This window comes from Homo sapiens, chromosome 17 (genome assembly GCF_000001405.40).
Source record: "Homo sapiens chromosome 17, GRCh38.p14 Primary Assembly".
Lineage (NCBI taxonomy): Eukaryota > Metazoa > Chordata > Mammalia > Primates > Hominidae > Homo > Homo sapiens.
Window position 1 is genome coordinate 55,036,931 of NC_000017.11, and position 23,387 is coordinate 55,060,317.

Sequence of the window (23,387 nt, forward strand, 5' to 3'; positions counted from 1 at the left end):
ACAAATAAGTCTGACCACTCATTTAAAAAATGATGCATGTCACTTTTTTTAATGTTTCAAATCACTTTGTTCTCTTTTGTAAGCAATCTCTTTTACTGCTAAGCATGTTGCCCATTGCAATCACCCACAGATCTGGTTGTTCTGTAACCCTCAGGAGAGTGCCCAGTTCTCCCAGAATGAAGCACTGATTTATCAGAACTAATTTTGTCGCATTTATTCAAAGAGAACTAAAGCTGTATTCAAGGCGCACAGTTTTCATTCTGCTGATTCAGGTGTTGTGTATTAATCTACCTAATGTTGATGTCAGGGAGCATTGTTTTTTACTGCCAAACAGTTCTCAGAGCTGCCATGCTCATTTTTGATGAGGAAGGCAAAGATGGTTGGGTAGTTTACAACAAGCCAATGAAATAGGCAATTCAGAGTATTTTGTATGAGCAAGCAAATCTTTTTTAGCAGCTGCAGATGGATGGTCATGCTCCAGGTTAGCAATTTATTTCCTCCTTACCAATATAATTTTAGGGCAGATAAGAATGTGTTTATAGTTTGGAAGTTGTTGGGATTAAAAAAAAAATATGTTCAACCTGTGAGACTTTGACAGCAAAAGCAAAGCGCTAATGGCAATTGTGCAAGAGTCACTAATTCCAGACATGTCAATAATTCTGACATGTCAATGATTTCCAATTTGTGGCTTCAGATCAAAATGTCGTGCAATAGAATTATATTAATTTTTTATTATATTTTTTCACTTGAGTACAGAATAAGAAAACATATTTTACACCATACTCACGTATATAACTGAAACAAAAGCCTGTCAAAGCATTAGTTACCTTTTCTATGTACATTGCATTCTTATTTAATATTCACTTGTATTTCATTAAAACTTTGGTTTCACGATTCGCTAATGGGTGATGTAACAGTCTGAAGAAACATTATAAAAATCACAATTTTAGTCATGTGGCTCACCAAAAGCAAATAAAAAATAACTGATTGTTTTGCAGTGTAATTCCCTACTTTTTTGAGTTCAAAAGCAGTTTAGTCCCCCATCTGAAGTATGCCAATCAGTCTGTAGTTACAGATGCTGACTGTCTGTGAGGGTGGGGAATTCCACTATGGTTACCCTGTCAACCGTCTCAGTTTCACAAACAACAGGCCTGGGTCATTCTGTTAGGCATGTATGTCTTTTATTCATGTTTTCTTTTTTTGGCTGATAATGATGGCTTGTCTTTCTTAATTTATTTTTTTAAATATTATTACTGAAATCTAATATATACAGAATAAAGTACAAAAAGTGTACAATTTGATGAATTTTTATTATGTGTCTCACATGGAATCACCACTCAAAAGGCTCCCTCAGGCCACCTTCCCAGTCAGCCGCCACTCCCACCTTTACATTGGAACCAGTATTTTGACTTATAACAACATAGATTATTTTTGCCCCTTATTGAATTTCATAATAAATAGAATTATAGAATATGTACTCTTTTGTAACTTGCTGCTTTTCCTCATTATTTTGTCTGACTCATAAGATCTCTTGAGATGCTATCTTTTAAGTAGGAATTGCTGAGTCAGTATAAAGTCAGTCCTACTTTTGTTTGTTTGACAACTTTTGGGTTTGGAAGAATATGACATTTAGAACCAAAAATATAATTATCTTACTGTGAGTCTAATCATCATTGCTACATTAGAAAATTCACACAGTGCTACACCTGCTGCTGGCACAAGGTTATATGCAGAAAGGGCAAGGCTGGAGCCCACATTTAGCACTACTCTAAACCTAGCAATAGCAGAATATAGTCCATCATAGTATGATTTTACCAGACTAATCAAGTACTGTATCATTAATGGATTATCTTAAAATTATAGAGAGAACACTAAATTCCCTAAAATAGATTTTTCACAGTTTGGGCTCTTGTTAAGTCAATTTAGTGGGCTGCGACTACCATTTTAAACAAGTGAAATAGAACAAAATGGAAAATACCAAAGGGAACTGTATATGATAAAACTGAGTAATGTTTCACTTATACAGGATCATAGTATGTATCATATTTCTCACCACGTATAGCAGTAAATACTTTATAGCCACTTCCCTAACGAAAACACGAAATATATATTGAACAACTGCAGTGTGCATGTTTTGTTATGTGCACATGTTATTAAGATAGGTAAAACTTGGCCTACATATTTTAAGGAAAAGTCATGTGCCCAAATAATTATAGTAAGAAAAGCTACATAGTGTGGCAAGGCCATAAGAGTAATAAAGCTTAGAACATTCAGAAAAGATTCATAACAGTTGGCATTTGAGTAAATTTTGAGGGATAAATAGGATTTTATGTGCTCAAGAGGTGAGTAGGGAGTGATAAAAGTATTAGCATAAACAAAAAAATTAGAACGTAATGCACACAGAGAGTAGTCTACTTAAAAAAAAAAAGATAATTGGGTTCATTCAGATGACAGAGTTATGCCTCAAAGGGTAAATGTTAAGTTTAGAAGTCTGTACTTTACTCAGTAGTCAGTGAGGAGCCATTAAGGAAAACAGTTAAATGACAAAAGTGATATTTTAGAAAGAGGAATCATATGTGTTGGTTATCTAGGAAGGGAGTGAAAGTGGTGGTAGGTAGTCTAGATAGAGGACTATAGAAATAATCCAGATAAAGATAGTAAAGAACTAAAGTATAGTGAAGGTGGGGAAAATAGAAAGGAAAGAAGTTATAGATCTAGATTACTTACCAAAAACAACAACTACAACAAGTATGTCATCAGTAGGACTTGCTGACCCTTTGGACATGAGAACTAAGGAAGAAGAATGAATAAAAAAAAAAACTCAAAAGTTTTGTCTAGGATAACTAAGAATATGATGGTACAGGTAGCATTTATAGAAATAGGGAAATAAGGAGAAAGCCTTTTTCAAAGTAGAGACCATGACAGATTGTGTTTTAGAGAGATTTAAGAAGCTGGCAAGTACAAATAACCAAAGGCCACTGGAAATTAGGAACTAGACACTGGGAAGGAATTTGGGAATATTTTGGAGAGTGATAGTTGAGGCATAATAGTGAATGTGCTCACTCAAACTTGTAGGGAAAAAAGAGAAAAGGGACAAACTTTGGGGAACCTCCCAAACCCCCTTTCTCCATTTAAGGAGTAGACATGAAAGTAACTCATTGGGAATAGCCTAAATGTGCAGAAGGGTAGGTGAGATATTAGAATATCACAATCTAAAGAAGATAAAATTTCAAGGAAAAAAAGCCTTCAACAATGTTATATATAACAAAGAAGAAAGTTGGTGGGGGCCATTTTCTTTGTCAAGTAGCAGTTTTATTGGTGAAATTGAAAGTAATCATTTTAGAAATATGGGAGTGAGAGGAAAGATGTATAAGCCAGATAATAAGAAGTGAAAGGAATGAGCAGGGAAATGGAAAGAGAAAAGAAGATACCCAGAAATTTTTAGGTGAATAGGATGGTAAAGTCACACACAATTTTATAAGGAAAGAAGGTAATTGAATAGGTCTCTAATGGAAGGCCTTATCAATAAAATTAGACTGACACTGAAGTTAACTGTTTTGTAACTGTTTCTGTTTAAAATGAATTGAGATTAGGGAATATGGCCAATGGAATAGTAGTTATCCAGAATTGATACAAGTCAAGTAACTTAAAATATGTTGGAGCAGCAACAGTGAAGGGAGAGGTGAAGTCAGACCTAATCAGCACAGTCCAATGACCTATAGTATGTATTTCTTGACATCTCCAGAAGGAGACTCTAGAAAGCAGAGTAGAAATGATTTACAATGTTATTTACCAGCTGTTGCAAAGTTCGGGAGATCCAAGGATCACAAATGATATTGCGAGAACCAGACAGGAAACAGATGTGGAAGGTTAAGGAATATAAATTTCAGTAGTTACTGATAGATTTTGAAAACACGCATCTGTCTGGAATTGTTGCTGTTAAATAACAACAATTCATTTGCCGCTTCCTTAGCTGAAGTATATTTGAATGGAACTATACAAAAAAGTCATTGAGCACAAAGGGGCTTTTCAAAGAATTCACAAGGAACATCCACAGCCAATTCTCTGGCTGCAAGTTTTTGCTGCACAATCCAAAATAGCAGTGGGATTATAAAACGTTTTTTTAAGTCATGGTTCTGTGACTATTTTGCCTCTCAAAATAGTACCATAGATTCTTTTACGCATGCTTTACCTACATGGTGTTAAGTTCAAAAGTTTATTGTCACATCCCTAAAATCCCAATCCTAGTTTCTCTTAATAAATTATTTTAGCTCTGGTATCTAAAATTTTATTTAAACTTTTTTTTTTTTTTTTTTTTTGAGACATGGTCTCACCCTGCCATCAGGCTGGAGTGCAGTGGTGCAATCTCGGCTCACTGCAGCCTTGACCTCCCCACCCATCTCAGTTTCCTGAATAGCTGGAACTACAGGAGTACCCCGCCATGTCTGGCTAATTTTGTTTATTTTTTGTAGAGACATGGTCTCATTATGTTGCCCAGGCTGATCTCAACCTCCTGGACTCAAGCAATCCTCCAGCCTCGGCCTCCCAATGTGCTGGCATTACAGACCTGGGTCACTGCACCTGGCCTTATTTAAACTTCTGAATCCTGCTTATTTCACTTCTTAGGATGAGAAGATAGAGTAGGCCATATGAATGTTGAGTAGCAACATTGAGTTTCCCAGATTGTGTTTTGTTTACTTTAGTTCCATGAGCTAGTTCAAAAATCAATAAATGAAGGCAGCAGGGTAAGGAGGTTGGGGGTTTGTAGTATGGTGAAATTACTGAGGAAACATCACAAGTTATTATACTTTTTTTTTGGCAGTTCAAATGTTCTTTAGCATATTAAGGCTGTTGGAAGCCATACAGGAAATAAGGTTAATTTTTTCTAAATCATATACCACTACCACCATCACTACCACTCAATTTTGCTTTTACACAAAGCCTGTTAATATCCTTTGGAACACACTCTGGGAAATATTATTACATTTTAAAATGTGTTCAAAATTAACAATACAGAAATGAATTCTTATGAGTGTTTGTGTTGAGTACTTCTGAGAGAGCAGAGTAACAGAGACATAAAGAATGTAGATCATGTAAATTATGGGCAATGTCCATAGATACCCAAAAGCTAATGTGACAGACCAAAAAGAACCAGTGATCTTCAGGGAAATAAGTTCTCCCCAAATATGAAGAATAATTCCTACTTCTGTTATTCTGGAGTTTGGAAAGCAAATATGAGTTTATTATATCCATTCCACCACGTTTTTTGTTGAATCTTTAATAAAAATCAGAGACTATGATTTGTGGGACTCTTGGAATGGCCATTTGTTAGCTGTGAAACCTTAGGCAAGTTATTAACATTTCTGAGCTTGTTTCTTCATCTGTAAAATGGAGACAAGGTGATTGATATTGAATATATACAGTCTTTAGCAATGCATCTGCACATATAAGTTTCCAATAAGTGGTTGATATTATTAATTGTTTTTATTATTTTTTTTCTACTCCACATTTGCCTTACCTATCTAAAGGGCCCTGCTTTAAGCCCATGCTTACATAACAACCACTTTCTCCACTTAGTCCTTTAAATTATATTTTCTTTAGTTGTTATAGCTTCCACATAGGAGATGGCTGTAGTTAAACTTGGATTTTTATGTCTGATTAGACTATCATTGTTTTTACATTGTAATTGACGGTCAGAGACATCATGCTAGATGTACGAGATATGGTCATCTCTGCATTTTTTGTTATTGTTATTCACTTGTGCATAAATTATTAATATTATCTTCAATCTACAATTTCTGTGCAGGAATCTTTTTAAGCTGCTTGTCTGTTGCATTACATTTCATTTAGTTAAAACCAGATACATAATCGATAAATATACTTTACTAGGCTCATGTAAACCATCTGATTTATAATGTACAGCATTTTGTTAGCCTTAGATACCATGCTATTAGAATGAATGTCTTTAGGGAATAGTTTATGTTGGTAATTCCTGAAGTCTTTTTGACATTATAAACACAGTCTTCGAATTTGGAATTTTAAGGAAAATTATATTGTTAAAATAATGATAAAGGTGACAACAAAATCAAAATTCTATTATAAGTGACAACAATGTAAGGTTAAAATGAATGAAATTGCTTTAATACTTTAATATCCCCTTTATCTAATCAAATGACTCCAACATAAGAAACTGAATTTTGTTATTAGAATACAGAAGCCTAAGATTAGTCAAAAATGATTTTTATGTTACCTCTCATAATTAGCATCTAATGCACAACTTTTCTCTTATATTTTAATGTTGATAGCTTCTTCCTTGTGATTCTTCAGAAGCAGATGAAATGGAAAGGCTCAAGTGTGAAAGAGATGATGCCTTGAAAGAAGTAAATACACTTAAGGTAACCTCTAATTTAGTTTCCTTATGTTTTCTTCAGAAAAAAAAGAAAAAGAAAAAAATCCTATATTGGATTCTGAAGCATTGGGGCTTAATTTTATTTTTAATGGAAAAATATTAATATCAAATAGTAAAAATCAGATTCTTTATTCAGTTGGCCTTTAGAGAATTAATTTTTGGTCTACATATTTATATTTCACAATATCTGTGCAACATTTAGTGTGAACAATGGTTTTTGCTCATGTCTTCTGTTGAGGTTTCTTCTTATCCTTTTTATTCTCTCTCATTAGTGGCCAGGGCAGAATTAGATGAAGAGCCAATAAAGCAAGTCGTGGCAATTTTGGATCCTGTGAGTTCTTTGGGAAATACATTTTTTTTCATGTGCAGGGCTATTCTTAAGGGACATCATGTTTTGCTAACGTAATTTGGAATTAATATTATTTTAGAGAGGAAAAAAACACACATATCCCAAATATACTGTAACATTTTTCTTCTCTTTTTTTGTTTGTTTGGTTTTTTGATTCTTGTTTTTGTTTTGTGTTTTTGAGACAGGGTCGCACTCTGTCGCCCAGGCTGGAGTGCAATACTGCAATCACGTCTCACTGCAGCCTCAACCTCCTGGGTTCAAGTGATTCTCCCACCTCAACCTCCCAAGTAACTGGGACAACATGTCCATGCCACCATGCTCAACTAATTTTTTTTTAAATTTTTATTTTGTAGAGATGGTGTCTCACTATTTTGTTCAGACTGGTCTCAAACACCTGGGCTCAAATGACCCACCTACCTCAGCCTCTCAAAGTGCTGGGATTACAGGTGTGAGCCACCATGTCTGGCCTTGATTCTCTTTATGTGGTTTCATTCTGTTTTTAGAAGAATATTACATTTAAATTATATCCTAATTTTTATAGAAAGCTATATTTTCCAAATCTTTAGGAAAAGCAACATAACTACTTGATTTACCACTAATTCGTCATAGGCACATATTTTTAAAATTATTTTATTAAATAAGGTATAGTATATTGATAATTATTTAATTTTTATTAAATAGAAAATATTTACACCAAAAGGAAAGAAAATTTGTTTTGCTACCTTAGTTTTTATAATCTCAACCTCTAGAGGAAGCCATTGTTGCAAATATATTATTTATCTTTTCATAGATTTTTCTCTACACAGAAAATTATATTTTTTAAAAATAGGCAGGGCATGATGGCTGACACCTTTAATCGCAGTACTTTGGGAGGCTGAGGCAAGAGGATTACTTGAGCTCAGGAGTTTAACATCAGCCTGGGCAACATAGCAGGACCCCATCTCTACTATTTAAAACATAAAAACAAAAATAAATAAATATATGTATATGTGGGGACAGGGAGTATGTGAGAAATTTCTGTACTTTCCCTTCAATTTTGCTATGAATCCAAAACTGCTTCAAAAAATAATAAAGCCTTAAAAAATTTTTTTCCAGTATGTGTGTATTTTCACTTCTATGTAAGTCACTTCATCCACACTTTTTTTTTTACAACTTGCCTTCTTTTTTTTTCTCTCTCTCTCTCTTTATAAGAATTATATCTCAGGCAGCTTTTCAGGTTAATATACACAGATCTACCAAATTCTTTTCAATAACTGTCCTATACATTAAATAGTTATTTGGCCAGTTCCCTATTGATGGACATTAGACTATTTCCAGTTTTTAAAAATAATTTCATCTTCAGCAGCTTTGTAGATGTATCTTTGGGCATTTGTACAGTATATACACAGAATGAATGTCTGAAAATATAATTGCTTTATTAAAAGATATAGACACTTAAAATTTTGCATATGTTACCATATTCCCTTTGAAAAGGTTTTGCCAATTCACATTCCTTCCTAAAGTATATGAGCATTTCACTACTATAAGAGTATTTTATATATTTCTTTTCTTACCTTTGAAACCGCTATCTTTCCACATTTTTTAGTGCAACAATTGTTTTGATGGAAAATAAAAATTTAGTTTTAAAAATACATTGACAATGATTTCCTTATATTCTCTTAGAAAACTTCCCCAGTGTTGGTTACCTTAATAAGATAACTTTTTATGTATTCTTTTATCGCTACCTAAACCATTAGACTTGTGGTTTATCAGAATTTTCAGAGGCTCTCAGATCTTTTTCATTTCCTTATAGTTTATCATTGTTAACTTTAGTGATATATTTGATTTTATTTTAATATCAACAGTAATTATTAGAATGTTAATTTGAAAGTGTATATGTCATGTTAATTTAACATTTCAATAAGACTTCCCTGAGGAGTCATTCAATAAATCAGGATTTACCTTTAAAGTTCATGAAATGTAACTGAATATACCCTGATATGACAAAACCTAAACTCCCAGATAAGCCGGCAACCAGCTAGCTCAGTTGGTTAGAATATGGTACAAAAATTCCAGATAAAACAAATTTTACATGTTATAATTACCTTTACCTCAAAACCTACCTATTGGCTGGCCAGTTAAAGAAGCCATATAAAGTAGTGTACAAAGCAATAAATATTTCGTTAAAGGTAATGTTTTTGTTTTCAGTTTTTCTACTTGTATTATACACTCATAAAAAGCAGAGGTTGTTAAATGAAGTTCATAAAGCATTTAGGTGGTGTCTCATCACTTTTCATTATCCTGTGACATCTCTATTCTTCATGTCTAATATGAGGTACAAATAAAAATGAAACCAAGATAATTTTATGTCAATAGCTAATTTTTATCTTGCAAGAATAATTTTTAAAAGTGCTGTGGGCTTTATTTAAGGAAGGCTTTCTGCAGAATTCACATTGCTACTGCTTTGCAAAGGTGAATGGAAAATAGATATATTTTCCATTTACAGATACAAAAAAACTAGGGCACAAAGAGTGAAGGTGACTTCCCAGAACATAAAATCACAGGAGCCAGCAGTCTCTTGGCTCCTGTGGCATAGTCATTAGATTGCCATATTATATTCATTTTCATATACCTTCATTTCACCTCTTAGACAAGAATAAGCTGAAATATACCAGAAAGGATATTGCCTTTTTTAAACATTGTAATATTGCCATGAATCTTTACCACTCAATTTAATGTTCGAGCAATTCCTCTGTTCAGGTTTGTATTTAATGGCTCTTAAATTACTCTTAGTATTTCTGATTTGACCAATAAAATGTGAATTTATTTAAGATATAATTAATAAAAATGGACATCGTAGGGTATATGCTTGACTTAATTTCAAATCCAAAGATATTTTATGTGTATGTATAATATTAATCTTAATAACTATTATTTTATGTTTTGTTTACATTAGTCATATATGCCTTTTCATGGATAATCTTCCAAGAATAAGCTAAAATTAAATTAGGAAATTAAGAGGTGAGCCAGTCTCATATGCCCTCTTTTGTATGGTCGAAGACCTTTAATTCTAATTTGTAATAATAATGCTCTTCAATTTGGTATCTCTTTGGCAATGATAGCTTAACCAAAATTGTGTTAATATTTACACATTTGTATTCTTAACTGGCTTCTGTTAGAGCTTATATTTTGAGATTTTGCAAAATTAAGGTAATAAAAAGTATATTTACATCACAATTTACTGTAAATAACTAATTACTTTTAAGTGCCTCATGTAAAGCCAGAAAAATGACTAGGAGCAATATTTTCAGATTGTAGCAATTTGATATTTGGGAATATAGGCCTTGAAACAAGGGACTAAGAAGTCACACTTGTTAATACTTTCATAACAAGTTGTTAATTTGGTGGTTTTTAAATATAGGAAAAATTATTGGAATCAGATAAGCAAAGGAAACAATTGACAGAAGAGCTCCAGAATGTGAAACAAGTAAGTATATGTATTGTGTATATATGTGCTCGTGTGTGTGTGTGTGTGTGTGTGTGTGTGTGTGAACATATGAGGTATAATTATAAAGCAGTGGTTCTTTACAATATCCCAGAGCTTCCTGATACATATTACATAATACAAAATAGCACAGAGCTTAAAAGCAATCACTTTTGGAGGCTGTACCTATGCTAAAGTCTTGCTACTATTGCTCAAAACAATGTTAAAACCTCTTTGAAATTTCTTTGAAAAAAACATATCCATAGACCAAAATAACCAATCTCATTACTTCTCCATTGTTTTTTCTTTTCTTTCATTTCCCCTTTTTTCTTTTTCTTTTTTATTTTGTTACTCATACTTCATTTTACTAAAGAACAAAAAAGTCATCAAGGCAGAGCATTTTTTACATTTATTTGTTAATAATAAAAAGCAAATATTTATTTTCACTTTGCATTATTCTTCAAAGAATTTGAGGTAGCTCACTATAAAACAAATATATGACAATATCATAAAATGAAAACCCAAATGACAAAATATAAATAAGAGAACATTGTTAGAGATCAACAGTGATCACCTGATTTTGAATCTCCCTCACACAGTCCCCCTAGAAAACATAAAATCAACAAAGAAAGCAGATAGAACCATACAGGACCCATATTTTGAATATGACTATGTGACAAAAAAACACCACAGCCTTTAAAGTACATATAAATACAACAAGAAAAATAATAATTCCAACAAAACTTCTGAAGCTTGCCTTTACTGAAACCTGGAATACAGAGAACAGAGGAGGCAAGGCTTGAAAAATTCTGAAATAAAGAGTAGAGAGAAACTATGAATTAGATGAAGAACAAACAAAATCACCCCCAGAAAGAGAAAAGGTAAACATAAATGCCAAAATACTGGCCGTATGTCAAGACTTGGTGGTTCTTAGCACTAGCTACAAAAAAAGAGACTTCAAGGTATGAATGCAATCAAAAATGGCAGCCTTGAAGAATCATTGTTTCTGAGGAAGAACCAGATCAATAGAGAATGGATAGAATTCCTTGGAGACTTCGCAATGATAGGAAAGAAGGAAATAAGAAGGGAAAATTAAGGAGCTTATAGAAATGAAAGCAGAACACAACTTATTAATCCACCCACCCTACCCTATGACCATCAAAACAAGATCCATAGAAGAAACTGCACAGAAGAGAGTGCTCTTGAACTAAGAACTTTTTCTGTGAAATAAAAAAGTATAGAACAAAAATTCTATCTCCATCATTATAAAACGACTGAAAAAGTCAGATGATATCAATGAAAGCTTTCCTCCTGATGAAAACTTTCCAAAACAATTTAACCACAAAACTTAAGAAAAATGTAACGTCACACTCCATACTCAAGGGAATTTCCTCAAATAAGCATTTGGGCTATGAAAAACACATCTCAAATGAGAAACTTAAAAAATAGTAATAATAGATATTGATCACCCCCAAAAAAATCAGGAAAAAGTGAAATGAGAGTTGATAAAACTTAGGAAAGAAGGAAGAGACAAAATCCTATCAGAAATGAAAACTAAATTACAAGTTGCTCCAGGAAGAATATAATCAAGTGAAAAGGCAATGAAGAAAACAAGAAAAGCAACTAGGAAAGTGAAAATATAATCAAGAAGTAAAAGAGTTTCTTAAAGAAATCAATCAAAATAACTGAACAGCCTAATACTTAGAACTATAATCCAAGAAAACTTTCTATAATTAAAACAAGACCTGAATCTAATATAGGTACTGGGGAAATCTGACCTGGAAAGATTACTGTACAATATATTCTAGTAAAATTATTAGACTTTAGAGGAAAATAAATGCACACTGCCTCCAAGTAAAAAGATTAAGCAACTTATGAAGGCAATAGAATTAGACCAGCATTGGGTTTCTCAAAACAACATGCAAAGTAAGGCAATAGTGGAACAACATTTTCAGGACATGAAAGGAAAGAAAGAAAGTATACAAAAATGTTTTATATAGCCAACCTGACTTTAAAATATCAAGGCCATAGAAAACAGTTTGTGATATACCAGTACTAAGGGAATATTTCACACATGATATTCCTGAAGACCTTCAGATAGGATGAGTTTTATCCAACTAAAAAATGCCTAAAATAACTTTGGAAAATGTTCCCAAATGGTGAGAACTTCATATATTTTATTGTACAGGTGAGACTAAAATGAGTCAGTGCATGGATGAAAAAAATAGCATGAACATTACATGTGTTAACAAAAGTCAAAAGATGCAAATTTTTTAATGGGAGGATAAGAAAGAAAAAAGAGGAAAACAGAATACATCATTTTGTTATATAAGCAAAGCGTAGCAGTCAATAAATATTTAAAACTGATATCAGATAAAAATTAGGTAAAAATAGAGGAGATAGCAAGCACTTAAAAAGTAATAATGGAAAGGTAACCTATAGAATGAAAATACAAACCTTCATAAACACCAAAAAGAATTTTTTAAGTAAAAAGGACACACAAAGAAATGAGTAAATATACACAATAATTTCAACATAAGAAAATTTTATAGAACTGCAACCAAACATAATGGTTATCTTAATTAACATGAATAAGATCAACTCACCTATTTTTTAAAAAGTTTTTCAAAAAATATAGTTTGCCAAAACTGACCGGAGTAAAGATAGAAAGCCTAAAAGGCCATTTTCTGTAGAAGAGATAAAGTAAGTTATCAAGAAACTATTCTAGATAAAAGGACCAGGCAAGATGGTTTCACAGAGAAATTTAACCAAACCTTTGACAGTCTCAAAACTATATAAATTGTTTCAGGGTATAAAAAATGAAAGAAATTTTCCAAATTCTTTTCATGAAGCAAGTATAGCGTTGATGTATAAACTTAATAAAAATGGCACAAAAAAGAAGATACAGTTAGACTAGAAAAGCAATTAGAGGCATATGACTTGGAAAAGAAAAAATAAAACTGTCTTTTTTTGCAGATGATATGGTAGTAATCTGGAATACCCTAGAGAGTGATAAAAGTAACTCAGTAAGTTGATAAGCTAGCAAGATATAAAATTAAGATGCAAAACTAAATTGCATCCATATACACAAATAATAACCAGTTAGAAGTTTTAATAGTTAAAGAGAAACCAAAATTATATAGAAAAATAGGCAAAAGACCTGAACAGATAATTCATCAAAAAAGCTATAAAAATGTCCATTAAACAAATGAAAAGATACTCAATCTCTTTCTCTCATAATAAAAGAAATGCCAGTTAAATCTATACTACCATAGAACTTCTAGCTTCTAAAATCATTAAGTCAAACCGTCTAAAGAATGATGACATTCATTGGGGGATGACGGAGGACATCCCCCAATAAAAAATAACTCCAGAACCTAAACATTTAATAATAAGCAACTACCAAAGGAACTGGAGAATGAACATCATCAGACAAATTGCTCCTCCTGGAAGAGAAGCAGAATATTAACATGTACCTAGAAGTAAGAAGTAAAAATTACATGAAATGGTATTCTTTTTGTTTGTTTGTTTTTGTTTTAGACAAAGTCTTGTTCCATCCAGGCTGTAGTGCAGGGACACGATCTCAGCTCACTGCAACCTCCACCTCCCGGGTACAAGCGATTCTCCTGCCTCAGCCTCCCAAGTAGCTGGGATTACAGGTGTGCACCACCATGCCCAGCTAATTTTAGTATTTTTAGTAGAGATGCAGTTTTGCCATGTTGGCCAGGCTGGTTTTGAACTCCTGACCTCAGGTGATCTGCCTGCCTCAGCCTCCCAAAGTGCTGGATTACAGGTGTGAGCCACTGCACCGGGCCTGAAATGGTATTCTTAGAGAGGTGTCACTCCTTTCTGTATCTTTTATGAACAAGGAAAATTGAAAATACACCTGCCTATTTTTGTAAAAGAAATCAAAGGAGGGATAAACTACACAGCAATGAAATTGATTACCTACAACATGGGTAGATATGCATGTTAAGATACAGGAAAGAGTGACACTTCTCTAAGAATACCTTTTCATGTAATATTTACTTTTGTGTACATGTTAATATTCTACTCATTCGAAAAATATATTAAAAATTAAGATGGAAAGGGAAAAATAAACCTAAAACTGCAAGTGTACTGAAGAAAATGAATCTAATTGTATTTCAAATGAATACCATAATTATGGTAAGGAAAAAAAACAAAGATAGAACCAATTCAAGCAACTAGTGAATGCAGTATTTGTGTTCAGTGTTTTGTCAGGATGGAATTGAGTTGGGAAGGAATTTCATACAAGTCCTAAACCTTTTTTTGTTTTGTTTTGTTTTGTTTTATTGTTTTAGTGGTGGGGCAAAGCAGTTCTGAAACAATTTTAGATGCTTTATAGGTCTGAGCAAATGTGTTCATTGTTGTTGAGAAGCAGAATCTCAATGAAAAAGAAAAGATAAAATAGAATGAATGAAGTCAAGAAAGGACCCTGAGTTGGGTGTGATGGTATGCATCTATAGTTCCAGCCACTTGGGAGGCTGAAGTGGGAGGATGGCTTGAGGCCACAGTGTGCTATTATGGTGCCTGTGACTAGCCACTGTATTCCAGCCTGGGCAACATAGTGACACCTTGTCTCTTAAAAGGAAAAAGAAAGAAGGAAAGAACCCTGCGGGATGGGCTTGAATTGGATGTATCATTGTGAATACATCATTTCTTTTATATATATGTGCATATGAACATGTATGTACACATGTGTATTATATATATGCGTGTGTATATATACAGATGTTCCTCAACACAATGGGGCTATGTCCTGATACACCCAATCCAAGTTTAAAATATCAAGTAGAAAATGTGTTTAATACCCCAGTAAGCCTATTATAAAGTCAAAAAAAACATTAAGTCAAACCATCATAAGTCAGGGACTATCTGTATATGTATATTTTCCCTAGCTCTGTCAACTTAAAGGGCTAAGAAACAGACACCCTAATAACAGTGAGCACATTACTATATCTAAGTGTCCAGATACCACTCCCCACTAGAAGAAAGCCAGGCTACTCAGAGAAATGACAAATTTCAGAAATGAGGAAGGGTAAGTAAAATATAAGCCTGGAATATCTTAATATGCCAGAAAATAAGGACGTGCTCAAAATGACAGGGGCATATCACAGGAACTAGCTTGAAGGGGCTTCCACTGGCCAAATATGGAAGAACTTGAGTACCAAAATAATTTAGTACAGTAATGTATTGCAGACTATAGAAGAAATCGTAATTCACGGTATCATTCGTAAATTGATTAATTAATTAATAGGGAGAAAGGAGTACTTTTGCCTATAGTAGGATGTTGAATACTGACTGGTAATTGCAGAGAAGCTGCTAGATTTGGAAATCAGTATTTTATATCTATTTTAATAAAGACTTGATCAGGCACAAATCATTCAATGCTAAATTTAGGGAAAAATTTTGATGAAGAGCAGAATATTTACATGGTTTTAAAGTATCTCTCTACAAACTGCTTATTAATTGCAAGGGGGTAAAATAGCAGTTATACAGTGGAGAAATCAGAAAACACCTTGACTAAATGTTGCTAAATGTGCTAAATGTTGATATCACCAATGAAGAACATTTGGGCATTGTGTGACTCCAAATATGATGCCCAAAAAATGACTACAACATCACCTGTGTAATTTTCTGGGCGAGAATGTGTAACCTGAATCTAACCATGAAGAGATGTCAGGCAAGCTCAAAATGAGAGAAAGTTTTGTTTAAAAAAAAAAAAAAAAAAAGACGTGTATGACGTGTGTGTGTGTGTGTGTGTGTGTGTGTGTGTGTGGGTTGTATTCTTTAGAAATGTCAATGCTATTTTCTTAAAAAAAAAAAAGGTAATAAAAGTTTACAGGTTAAAAGATGCTAAAGAGACGTGAAAACTAAATACAGCATCTGACTCCAGACTGGATCCTCTACCGGAATGGGAAAAATGCTATAAAGGATATTATTGGGTCAGTTGACAAAATTGGAATACAGATGGTAGATTAAAGCATTGAATTGATGTTAAAATTCCTAAATTTGTTAACTGTACTGTGGTTATATAAAAGAATATCCTTATTCTTAGGAAATATGTGGTTATATAAGAAAATATCCTTATTCATAGGAAATATTGGAGTTTTTAGGGATAAAGGACCATGATATATATAACTTACCCTCAGATGGTTAAAAAAGTGCATGTATATTTATATATACATGTGTGTTATTTATACACATATATGTAATTGCATTGTGTATAAATATTACATATATGAATAAATATGTGAGCGAGATTGAGAACATGCAAAATCTCAGCCACAACCACTTACTATCAGTGGCTTACAAGAATATATTGTTTCTCACTCATGAACATGTTGGCAAAAGGATGAACCTGGGGAATTAGGTAAATCTGGGTAAAGGATATGAGGATATTCTTTATACTATTCTTGCAGCTCAACTGAATATTTGAAATTATTTCCAAAGTCAAGTTTTTTTAAAGTCCTCTATTTTCGGGCCAATTTTCGGACCCTCATTTTATTAAATATTTTTGTACTTTAATTGATATGACTTTTTAGTGCTTTTCATTCTGTATCTTTTATACCTCCATGAGTTTATATGGCCAGATCTTTTTACATTTTAGCGTTTGCATCCTGAAAATGGACATTTACAAATCTTTCTTGTTAGTTTTTATATGTAGGATAAATTAGGGGATTTTTCTCCTAACTTTACATTTTTCTTTTCTCCTAAAGGCTTGGAATATATAAACTTTAGAATATCAGCCATGATTGATAAAATAATAATTGTATTAAAGGCTGATGTAAGATGTGAATCTAAGGAAAAATAGCAGTTTTTTTCTTTTTCTAGCAGTACCTACTTTTTCCACATGAGGCCCTCCTGTATTTATTTCTGTGAAAGGATTAGTTTCTGTTATTAAGAAAGGTCATGTCTGCATGAATAAGTAATCTAAGGCTAATTTGTATTAGAATTTAATAAGACAAAAAAATGAATATATGAAAAAATATATAAACAAAAGAGAGAATCTTATATGGTTCACAGTGAATTGGCCAAACACAGTGGCTCACGCCTATAATCCCAGCACTTTGGAAGGCCAAGGTGGGTGGATCACTTGAGGCCAGAAGTTCAAAACCAGCCTGGCCAACATGGTGAAACCCCATCTCTACTAAAAATACAAAAAAATTCGCTGGGCATGGTAGCACATGCCTGTCATCCCAGCTACTCGGAAGGCTGAGGCACAAGAATCACTTTAACTTGGGAGGTGGAGGCTGCAGTGAGCTGAGACTACACTGCACTCCAGCCTGGGTAATAGAGTGATATTTCATCTCAAAAACAAAACAAAAACAAAAACACAGTGAATTGGCCTAAGGATAAGTGCAGTAGATAATGGGGTTTGGAGTTATACCTTTGGTTTATACCCTGACCCTGCTCCTTGCTAGCTTTTGACCTTTGTCAAACTACTTCACCTTTATGGGTCTCAGCTTCCTCATCTGCAAAATGGGTTTGATAATGGGATCCTTCACAATAACATTAGAGGTATTAAGATAATACACATAGATGATAATGTGTATAGCACATACCACTCAACAAATATTACAAATAATAGAAGAAAAAATATTAAGAGGTGGAAATGATTTGTATTAACTATTTAATAAAGAGGAGGAAAATGTAATTTTAACTGAGGGCATAAGGGGACTTTTCATAGATAAGGTGGCACGTGAGCTGACCCAGACACAGAAAGGCAGAGCATTTCAGGCTGAGAAAACAGCATGAAAATCATGGCATAAAAGGGGAAATTTGCTTGTGTTTGTGGTCAAAATAAACCTTTTCTATGCTAACTTTAAGTTATTTGTTAATATATTTCTGTCTTCATGTCTGAAAAAGTGTTAATAGTACCTACCTTACAATTTTTTCATAGGACTTGAGAATTTAAGAGCCTAAACCTGTCAGGAATCTAATTTTGAATACTAGTTTTGACATGTATTCTTTTATCAACATCACTATCAAAGGCCCAGGAACATAAGGGAAACACGGAAAGATGAAGCTGTTAGGAAATGACATTTGGGTGGGTGTGTTGGGGCCTACACATATAAGCAGTTGAATACCAGCCTAAGATCTTAGAGGACTGCCATTTAAAATATTTGACAAGGAGAGAAAAATGAACAACTGTCTCCACGTATAATCTGACCCCACTCTTTCTTTCATACTCCATAACCAACTTGTTGGGCCTACTTTTTAGAAATCACAGAATTTTGCCACTTTTCACCACTTCCATCAGTGGTCTAAGCCGCCATCAGGTCCCACCTGTGTTGCTATTATAGCTTCCTACCAGATCACGCTACTTTTACCCTGCCTCACTCCCATACTGTCTAATCTGAACAAAGCAGCCAGAAATATTGTTTTAAAACTGCACTTAGAACTCTCCAGGACTTTCCATCTCAGTCAAAGTAAGGCAGAAATGCTGCAAGTAGAAACCTCCAAGTAACTGTTAAAGCCTATGAGGGCCTACATGACCTGCTGTCCTTTCCCCATCCTAACACTCCTTTTAAAGTACCTCAGCTCTTTCCACACTTCTCCCCTCCACCCCTTTACTCATTCTCCAGCTCATCTGGTCTCTTTGCACCATCTTTCCTCTGACCCTTACTGTGTGTGGAGGAGTTTCTTTTAGTATAACTATTACTATCTTACATCTTAAATAATTTACTTATGTTTTGCTCTTTATCTGTGTCCCCCAACTGGAGGGTAAGCTTCATGAAGACAGCTATCTTGGATTTGTTCTCTGATTTATCTTACAACAATAGCTGTTATTAGGTACTCAAACATTTGGTGAATGGATAAAGGGATAAATGGAGGATATACTTTAAGGTTAAACTGACAGCAAGTTGGGAAGTAACCGAAGATCAGATAAAAGGCTGTTGTAATAGTCTAGAACAGCAATGTCCCTTAGAAATATAATGAAAGCCACAATATATTGCTATATTTTCTAAGAGCTACATTTTTAAAAAAGGAAAAAGAAACAGGTAACGTTAATTTTAATATATTTTATTTAGTTGGATTTATCTAAAATATTACTTTAGCATGCAGTAATATTTTTAAAATTCATTATGAGATATTTTTACTTTTTTATACTGTATCTTTGAAATCTAGTGTTTTTAAAATTTAGAGCACATCTCAATTTTTACACTGAATTTTCATTGGAAATACTGGATCTGTGCTTAGATTTAATAAAATTTACAGTTGAAAAAGTAAATTCACATACTCAAATTGTTCCAAACTTATTTTAAAAGTTTCTAATGACTGAATTGAATACCAAAAATCTTTTTCTTTTAATGTTTACATCCACACTAACAAAACTATTTTATTTTCTAAGAAGAATTTGTTTTTAAGCAAGATCTTTTCAAAGCTACATCTGTTAAGTACCGTCACTAATTCTTGTCAGCTCAGTATTATTAGCATAAAATTCAAGCCTGTGAGATGGAGGCTGCAGTGAATTATGATCATGCCGCTGCACTCCAGCCTGGGCAACAGAGGAAGAACCTGTCTCAAAAACAAACAAAAAAACTGGCCAAGCCCAGTGGCTAATGCCTGTAATCTCAAAACTTTGGGAGATCTGCCAAGGCAGGCAGATCGCTTGAGCCCAGCAGTTCCATTCCAGCCTGGGCAGCATGGAGAACCCCCGACTCTACAAAAAATATTAGCATCAAATTCAAGGAGTATTACAAATAACAAAAGCAACTCTAAATTTAGCAGTATGAAGAAAGCATACTTCAAAATTTTTTCAGTTTTCATAGCCAATTTATGTAACACTATCAATAATTAAGATCTGCATATTAGCTTATAGTAGAAAAATAGGTAAAGTCATTATTTTTTATTTATATTATGAAAAAGTTCAATTTCACTATAAACTCTTATACTTATCTAGCTTCATAAACTTTCCTTTTCCTTGTAGTTTGTAGTTTAACTCATTTACATGCACTGATATTAGTGAGAAAATGTAAATCACACTGCCATTTTCTTTTGTCTGGTTACTGAATAATAGATGCACCTTCCTTTTGTTTAAGAAAACCTTTAATTGGAGTTAAAAGTACAGAAAATCTTCGTAAATCTCTTTCATAACTCAGCCAAGAAGTATTGGCAAATAACATAGCATCAGAAAATGTATTGTCCTCCTTTTTTCTTTTAACAGTTTTATAAACTACTGATGACTCAATTTACGTGCGTATACTAAACAGTGTTAGCAACTGTATCTATGATGCTTTTCATAAAATCAGCTTGAGAAAACTAAGCACAAATATTTTCAATATGTATCATACAGTGGAATAAAACAATAAAGCAGCCTCTTTCTTCTTTGAAAATGTCAATACATTCAAATTTGGTTGTTGTTGTTGTTTCTAATTTTACTTTGAGTTCTGGGATACATGTGCAGAACGTGCAGGTTTATTACATAGGTATACATATCCCATGGTGGTTTGCTGCACCTATCAACCCGACATCTAGGTTTTAAGCCTTGCATGCAGTAGGTATTATCTTTATGCTCTCCCTCCCCTTGCTCCACCGCCCGACAGGCCCCAGTGTGTGATGTTCCCCTCCCTGTGTACATGTGTTCTCATTGTTCAACTCTCACTTAAGAGTGAGAATATGCAGTATTTGGTTTTCTGTTCCTGTGTTAGTTTGCTGAGAATGATGGTTTCCAGCTTCATCCATGTATCTGCAAAGGACATGAAGTCTTTTCTTTTTTATGGCTGCATAGAATTCCATGATGTATATATGCCACATTTTCTTCATCCAGTCTATCATTGATGGGCATTTGGGTTGGTTCCAAGTCTTTGCCATTGTGAACAGTGCCACAATAAACGTACTTGTGCATGTGTCTTTATAGTAGAATGATTTATAATCCTTTGGGTATATACCCAGTAAGAGGATTGCTGGGTCAAATGGTATTTCTGGTTCTAGATCCTTGAGGAATCGCCACACTGTCTTCCACAATGGTTGAACTAATTTACACTCCCACCAACAGCGTAAAAGCATTCCTATTTCTCTACATCCTCTCCAGCATCTGTGTTTCCTGACTTTTTCATGATCGCCATTCTAACTGGCATGAGATGGTATCTCATTGTGGTTTTGATTTGCGTTTCTCTGATGACCAGTGATGATGAGCTTTTTTCATATGTTTCTTGGCCGCATAAATGCCTTCTTTTGAGAAGTGTCTGTTCATATCCTTCACCCACTTTTTGATGGGGTTAATACATTTAAATTTTCGATGCAACATAGCTGGAGCACCATTTATCATGATGAAAACTTGTTTTTTATTATCTACCTGAAACTTTTTTGACAGATGTAAAAGGGTTAAAAATATCTACACTGCAAGTTTGATTTTTTTAGGCTGCAAATCAACATTTTATCATAAGTTTGGACACCCTTTGAGGCAGTACATGCCTGAAGGATGAATTTGGTAGTGTCTCTTGCATGATATGGCCCACTGAAAGCTATTTTAATCAATTGATCGTTGATATTCTTAGAAAGTTCTTATAGTCGATGGGCATTTGTTTTATTACTTAATTGAATATCCTCCATTTTTTATGAAATACGTTTCCCAGTATTTTTATCATAACTGAAATTACTATCTCAATCTAAAAATGGTTTTCTTTTTTGTGCAAAAATTCTAGCCATTTTATAGTTACAAATGTTGGACATTTACTTCTGGTGACTAATTTTATTTATTTATTTTTTTAACTGCTAATACGAAACTTCTTATCAAATTCACCATTAATTTGCAAAAATGGCTATTAATATTGCTCACTTTATATATATTTCAAAATTTTCTTCTACAGTAAACACACTTTTTGCAAATTGCAATTGCATTGTTCCAGTAATATTACTAGCTAATTTATCTCCATTTTATTCTGCATCAGTAGTATGTCTTCACTTTACATTTAATTTAAATTTAATTTTGTCCATACTTATTTTATGGACAAATTTTTACTAAATACAAAAAATAAATATAGCCTAATAAAAATAAGTATTTTAATTTAATTACTAATATGATTTACCTAGGTATCATTGTAACTCAGGCTGATTGCATAAAATATTCAGATAAGCCTACTGTGTGTACATATTGGTGTGTAAAAAAGGATTTATAATTAATTAATTTTTTGACACTGGCCACATCAGTTACGTGTTTATGTATACTACTCAACTGACTCATGTGCCTGACACAGACATTACAGTTCAACAATAATATCTTAAATGATGCAGTGATTACAGTGAGTTAGAGTTCTACCAAAACAGTAAAGTCTTGTTTTGTGAAAAAATAGTTTACATTTCTTGAGTTTTTAAACTTAAATACAAAATAATTATAATTAAATTAAAAATTTGGTTCCTCAGTCAACTAGCTATATTTCAGGTGCTCAGTAGCCACATATAAGTAGTGGCTACTGTGATTGGACAATGCTGATCTAGAACTCTACATCCTTTCTACTCAGAGTGGTCAGCAACAGGAGAAATATCAGCAATCAGGAACTTAGAAATGCAGTCTTAGGTCTCATCCCAGATCTATAGAATCAGAATCTACACTTAACAAGTCTTCAGGTGATTTGTTTACACCTTAAAATTTGAGAAGCTCTTGTCCAGAAAATAGGCAATGGAGGATTTAACTGGGTAATCATAATAGTAATATACCAAAAAGGTCTATGCAGAAGACACCATGAGGATAAAGTCCACCAGATTTAACAGTCATAAAATGTGCAGTAATAAGGAGAAACAACAGTCAAGTCTTTGTAGTTTAGTGACTGAGAGGCTGTAATGATGCAATCAACAAAATAAGATAAATGAGATTGAGGGTAAAGATGTGTGGATTCAGAGTAGTACTTAGTATATAGTTTCCAGTTTAAACAAAAATAATTAAAAATACATGTATACATCTGTGTATACAAACCCACATGCATACATACTGAAACACCATTCATTTCATTAACACCGTAAAAAAACATAGACTACCCAAAATCAACCCTGAAAGTGTCCAATTTTAAAATATGTTGACCATGGATACTATTCAGCTTTTCTTATGTACATAGAATGATATTATTTTGTTAAGAGGATTTTGATGATACAGACCTATTGTTAATGAAAGAGTTCCTATGCTTTAGTGAAAATACCTTTCC

The 23,387-nt window shown here is 33.3% G+C and overlaps 1 protein-coding gene across 15 annotated transcripts in view, besides 1 other annotated feature; it reads left to right on the plus strand.

Annotated features, from left to right (window-relative positions):
* The window catches only part of STXBP4 (syntaxin binding protein 4), a 244,509-nt gene that overhangs the window by 68,166 nt on the left and 152,956 nt on the right, over window positions 1-23,387 (plus strand). For 12 of the 15 annotated variants that reach the window (XR_007065289.1, XM_047435714.1, XM_017024410.2 and 9 more), the window contains 2 exons: window positions 6,306-6,395; window positions 10,159-10,224. Coding sequence is in view for 14 of the 15 variants with exons in the window: in XM_047435714.1 (XP_047291670.1) it covers window positions 6,306-6,395; window positions 10,159-10,224 (156 nt within the window). In the remaining variant the exon portion in view is untranslated. Of the gene's footprint in view, window positions 1-6,305; window positions 6,396-6,681; window positions 7,853-10,158; window positions 10,225-23,387 lie in introns of those variants that run through there. The other 3 variants (XM_017024414.3, XM_006721797.5, NM_001398482.1) reach the window with 2 other exon arrangements.
* Window positions 1,132-1,211: an enhancer, noted in NCBI's record as "active region_12412". NCBI's record gives its function as "activates an Ori minimal core promoter by ATAC-STARR-seq in GM12878 lymphoblastoid cells {active_cell/tissue: GM12878}" and the evidence as "EXISTENCE:reporter gene assay evidence [ECO:0000049][PMID:35858748]".